At 38.9% G+C, this 6300-nt stretch overlaps 1 annotated feature.

Moving 5' to 3' along the window:
- Positions 1868–2398: an enhancer, noted in NCBI's record as "NANOG hESC enhancer chr15:49990770-49991300 (GRCh37/hg19 assembly coordinates)". NCBI's record gives its function as "activates a minimal SCP1, AML or CMV promoter by ChIP-STARR-seq in primed H9 embryonic stem cells {active_cell/tissue: H9 hESC(primed)}" and the evidence as "EXISTENCE:reporter gene assay evidence [ECO:0000049][PMID:30033119]".

Genomic DNA, 6300 nt, shown 5'->3' with positions numbered 1-6300 from the left:
TCTCTCTGATCCACCTGACATTCACCCCATTTCCCCATATTTCCATCTTTTCTGTTCTTCACCCTGAACACACTTGGTTTATTGATAGTAGTTCCACCAGGCCTAATCGCCACACACCAGCAAAGGCAGGCTATGCTATAGTACAAGCCAACAGTCCGCCTCTTAGAACTTCTCATTTCCTTTCCATTGTGGAAATCTATCCTCAAGGAAATAACTTCTCAGTGTTCCATCTGCTATTCTACCACTCCTCAGGGATTATTCAGGCCCCCTCCCTTCCCTACACATCAAGCTCGAGGATTTTCCCTCGCCCAGGACTGGCAACTCTTAACTCCCTCTTAGAGTGGATAGATGATATCTGCTGGCAGGGGACCCTCCGATAGTTTCACCCTGATGAAGTTCTATTCTTTACGTTTATACTCACTCTTATTCTCATTCCCATTCTTATGCCACCCTCTACCTCCCAGCTATCTCCACCACACTATCAATCTTACTCATTCTCTCCTAGCCGTTTCTAATCCCTCCTTAGCGAACAACCACTGGCTTTGCATTTCCCTTTCTTCCAGTGCCTACACAGCTGTCCCCGCCTTACATGCAGACTAGGCAACATCTCCTGTCTCCCTACACCTCTGAACTTCCTTTAACAGCCCTCACCTTTACCCTCCTGAAGAACTCATTTACTTTCTAGACAGGTCCAGCAAGACCTCCCCAGACATTTCACATCAGCAAGCTGCCACCCTCCTCTGCACTTACTTAAAAAACCTTTCTCCTTATATCAACTCTACTCCCCCCATATTTAGACCTCTCACAACACAAACTACTATTCCTGTGGCCGCTCTTTTATGTATCTCTCGGCAAAGACCCACTGGAATTCCCCGAGGTAACCTTTCAACTTCTCTATGTTCCTTTACTCTTTATCTCCAAAGTCCTCTTCTTGTTTACTTATACGCAGCCCCAAAAATAACAGTGAAAGGTTGCTCGTAGACACTCAACATTTTCTCATACACCATGAAAATCGAACTTCCCCCTCTATGCAGTTACCTCATCAGTCCCCATTAAAACCTCCGACGGCTGCCGCCCTAGCTGGATCCCTAGGAGTCTAGGTACAAGACACCCCTTTCAGCATTCCTTCTCATCTTTTTACTTTCATCTCTAGTTTTGCCTTGCACAAGGTCTCTTCTTCCTCTGTGGATCCTCTACCTATATGTGTCTACCTGCTAATTGGACAGGCACATAGACACTAGTTTTTCTTACTCCCAAAATTCAATTTGCAAATAGGACTGAAGAGCTCCCCGTTCCCCTCATGACACCAACATGACAAAAAAGAGTTATTCCATTAATTCCCTTGCTTGTCGGTTTAAGACTGTCTGCCTCCACTACTGCTCTCAGTACTGGAATAGCAGGCATTTCAACCTCTTTCACGACCTTCCATAGCCTCTCTAATGACTTCTCTGCTAGCATCATGCACATATTGCAAACTTCAAGTTGACTCTTTAGCTGCAGTTGTCCTCCAAAACTGCCGTGGCCTTGACTTACTGCTGAAAAAGGATGACTCTGTATATTTTTTAATGAAGAGTGTTGTTTTTACCTAAATCAATCTGGCCTGGTGTATGACAACATAAAAAACTCAAGGATAGAGCCTAAAAACTTGCCAACCAAGCAAGTAATTATGCTGAACCCCCTTGGACACTCTCTAATTAGATGTCCTAGATCCTCCCAATTCTTAGTCCTTTAATACCTGTTTTTCTCCTTCTCTTATTAAATTTAGTTTTTTGATTCATACAAAACTATATCCAGGCCACCACCAATAATTCTACACGACAAATGTTTCTTCTAACAACCCCACAATATCACCCCTTACCACAAAATCTTCCTTCAGCTTAATCTCTCCCACTCTAGGTTCCCACGCCGCCCCTAATCCTGCTCGAAGAAGCCCTGAGAAACATCGCGCATTATCTCTCCATACCACCCCCAAAATTTTTGCCGCCCCAACACTTCAACACTATTTTGTTTTATTTTTCTTATTAATATAAGAAGACAGGAATGTCAGGCCTCTGAGCCCAAGCTAAGCCATCTTATCCCCTGTGACCTGCACATATACATCCAGATGGCCTGTTCCTTGCCTTAACTGATGACATTCCACCACAAAAGAAGTGAAAATGGCCGGGCCTTGCCCTAAGTGATGACATTATCTTGTGAAATTCCTTCTCATAGCTCATCCTGGCTCAAAAGCTCCCCTACTGAGCACCTTGTGACCCCCACTCCTGCCCGCCAGAGAACAACCCCTCTTTGACTGTAATTTTCCTTTACCTACCCAAATCTTATAAAATGGCCCTATCCTTATCTCCCTTCGCTGACTCTCTTTTTGGACTCAGCCCGCCTGCACCCAGGTGATTAAAAAGCTTTATTGCTCACACAAAGCCTGTTTGGTGTTCTCTTCACACAGATGCAAGTGAAAGGGGGCATCTCAGGTCAGGCCCCAAAACAGAGCCTAATACAGGGATAAATATTGGGAGATGTGATCTCAGGGCAGCAAGAGTGAAGGAAAGGCAAAATGAGACAGGAAAGGATAAGGAAGAGAAGTACAGCAATGTAACTGCACAGGCCGCACAAAGAACCATCCTCAGAACAGTCCATTAGAGAAAGGAAGGGAGAAGAAATGATTATTTTAGGTTCTTACAGTCTTCTTGCTCTCATCGGTCATAATTTACTGTCAGGAAACTAATTTTTCCACGCTTCCAGGTTCTCTCACCGGGCCTTTACACAACTGCTATGGAAGGCATCTCCAGTGCTCTGTGGCATGATAGCTTCATTCAAATCTGGAAGTAGTAAGAAGATCTAGGGATTTCTAGTGCTTGTCTGCTGGAACTCATGCAGTGGAACCGCTGCCCTGAGTGTACTGCAGTGGCACTGGCAGCTCACATGGAACAGCCAAGGGTCAGGAGACATGTGAGGGAGAGAGAATCTGAAAGGTTATGTATAAAATACTCAATATAAAGGGAGATGTGACTGGGAGGTATAGGAGGATTCAGCTGCATTAATAATGTTTTATTCCTTAAGCTGAGTATTAGGTTCATAGCTGTTTGTTCTATTTATACCTTTCAGATAGATAGATAAGATAGATAAAATATAGATACAGGTATACAATCATGTGTCACATCACAATGGGAATACATTCTGAGAAATGCATCATTAGGCAATTTTGTTGTGTGAACATCATAGGGCATACTTACACAAACCTGCTGTCCTCTCCTATGATAACAATACCTTCTTCTGGAATACCTCCCAAAGGACGAGTCTGAGGCTGTTTTACAGTTAACTTTTTTCTTTTCTAAATAGAAGGCACATACTCTAAAATAATGATATTTATAGTACAGTAAAAAGTAACACACAAACCTAGATGGTATAATTTACTACATGCCCAAGCTATATGATATAGCCTATTGCTCCTAGGCTACAAATGTGTATAGCAGGTTACTGTACTATATATTGTAGGTGATTATAACACAGTGGTAAGTATTTGTGTATCTAAACATAGAAAAGGCACAGTAAAAATACAGTATAAAGGATAAAAACCTCCATAGGGCGCTTAACATGAATGGAGCTTGCAGAACTGGAAGTTGTTCTGGGTGAGTCAGTGAGTAAGTGTTGAGTGAATGTGAAGGCCTGTGACATTACTGTACACCACTGTAGTTTTTATACACATTGTACACTTAGGCCACACTCATTTATAAAAAATATTTTCCTTCAATAATAAATTAACTTTAGCTTACTGTAACTTTTTCACTTTATAAACTTTTTCATTTTTAAAACTTTTTGAATCTTGTAATGACACAACTTTAAACACAAAAATGTACAACTCTGAAAATATTTTCTTTCCTTATATCTGTATTCTATAACTTTTTTCTGTTTTTAATATTTTTTTTTACTTTATAAACTTTTTTGTTAAAAATGAAGACAAACACACATTAGCCTAGGCCTACACAGGGTCAGGATCATCAATATCACTATCTTCCACCTCCACATCTTGTCCCACTGGAAGGTCTTCAGGGGCAATGCATGATGCTGTCCTCTCCTATGATAACAATGCCTTCCTCTGGAATACCTCCTGAAGGACTAGTCTAAGGCTGTTTTACAGTTAGCTTTTTTCTTTTCTAAATAGAAGGCATATATTCTAAAATAATGATATTTACAGTACAGTAAATAATAAACCAGTAGCATAGTTGTTTCTTATTATCAAGTATTATGTACTGTACAAAACTGTGCTAGACGTTTATATGAATAGCAGTGCAGTAGGTTTGTGCACACCAACATCACTGCAACCATGTGAGTAATGCGTTGTGCAATGACTTATAATGGCTACAACACCACTCAGTGATAGGAATTTTCCAGCTCATTATAATCCTATGGGACCACCATCATATTTGCAATCAGTCATTGACTGAAATGTTAAATACATGACTGTATATTACACATTAAACAACACCTCTAAAGATGTTTTGATCCAGTTCAAAGGGCTTTAAAGATGTTTAATGTATTAAATTGAGCTACGTTTTGAAACTTATAGAAACTAGTTTTTTTCCTACTCTTACGTTGGAAGTTGTGCTTAGTATTTTTTTTTCTTTATACTTTTATGTTGGGAAGGACAGAGCTTGTGAGGAAGTATTGATCAATTATAAAAAAACATTTTATTTTCATGTTTGAGTGATGAGTAAGCTAATTTGTATCATTCCTATAATGGAGGTTTCATAGAAGAGGTGAATTTTAAAACTGGCCCTAAAGATAAGAAAATCTGGAAAAAAAGTTGATAGGGAAGAGCCTTTCATAAAAACAAACTGAGCATGGGATGTAGAAAACTAGCTCAGGGAACAAGGAATAATTATTTGACCAGATCATGTGAAGGAAGAAATGGGATATATAATTGGAAAGATACAATAAAGCTAGAATGCAGAGGAACTTGAAATGCCTAGTAGTCTATATTTCACTGGCAAAAGATAAATTGAAAATTCTAAATTATATTTTCCAGCCTGTCAGAAGTTTGATATAGTCACATGTCTGAGTTTTGACCAACAGGACATGTAAGAATGGCTCTTCCAGGCCTGGTCCATGAAACCTCCCTTGCCTGCTAAACAGATAAAGAAAATCTGGTGGAGCTCTCTGAGGCCCCAAAAGATGGCAGAGCCACTCTGGAAGAAGCCTGGGTACCTGGATGACTATGTGAAGCAGAAACCCCACCATATCCTCTCTGTGTATCCCCAGTGGTTGGTGATATAACCAAATAATAAATCTTTGTTGTGTTAAAACACTGAAAATAACTCTGTTTGTTATAGCATTTAGCCTATTCTGACTAATATACTACATAATTGCATTTATATGCCTATCTCTTACTGCTAAACAGTGAGCTTTTTGGGGGGCAAAAACATATAGTTCTTAATTCACATTGACTAGCACAAAGATGATCAATAAGTATTTACTGAATTAATACATACTCAACTAAGGCAGGAGAAAGGACTAATATATTTTATAATGTTCTCCTTGTACCCACCTTTTCTCCTAAAGTGATTGTTGAAACAAACATGCAAAGAAAAAAAAGTTCTTAAACACCAGAAAAACAAAATAGCAAGCCAACAAGATTTCACCATTTCTCAAATATTCTGAGTATCTGACATTTGTTGCAGTAGAAAATAAAGGTTGGTTCTGAGGTTTCCAAAAGGGACAATCATACATCCTTCAAAGCAATAAGGGAAAGAAGGCTTTCCATCCATCATTCTCATCATAAAAAGAGCAAAATTCTCTACATTCTATAAGTCTAAAGTAATTTCTATCCCTAAGTTGTTACTTGTAACAAGGAAACTTGGAGTCAGTTTTGCAAGGCTATTTACTAGAAAGTCATTTTGACGCATTTACTTGGGGCAGCTATTTGTCATAGCTGAGTCAAAATGCATTAAAGTGGCTTGAAATGTGCAAGTTTCCCCCCTTTTTTATTACTAGGAAATATTTACAACACATTAACCCCAGGCAATCTTAGGAGACTTTCATTTTAAGGATATTGGCATATGTTTTTTGAGTGCTGAGAGAATCATTAAATATAAAATTAAGAATTCCCCATGGAGATTGACGCTAAATTAGTAGATCAAATTACTATTACTCAAATATCCCCCCTTTCCCAAATTCCATATATATATATACGTTTGTGTGTGTATGTGTGTGTGTAAACACATTAGGAACCCCAAAATTTTCAAATTAAAAAAACAGCTATCATTATTAAGCAGAAATTCTATGCATTCATTTAAAGTAAATGAA

Source organism: Homo sapiens, chromosome 15, assembly GCF_000001405.40.
Source record: "Homo sapiens chromosome 15, GRCh38.p14 Primary Assembly".
NCBI lineage: Eukaryota > Metazoa > Chordata > Mammalia > Primates > Hominidae > Homo > Homo sapiens.
Note: the sequence above shows the minus strand (reverse complement) of the source record. Positions and strands in the feature narration are given on the sequence as shown.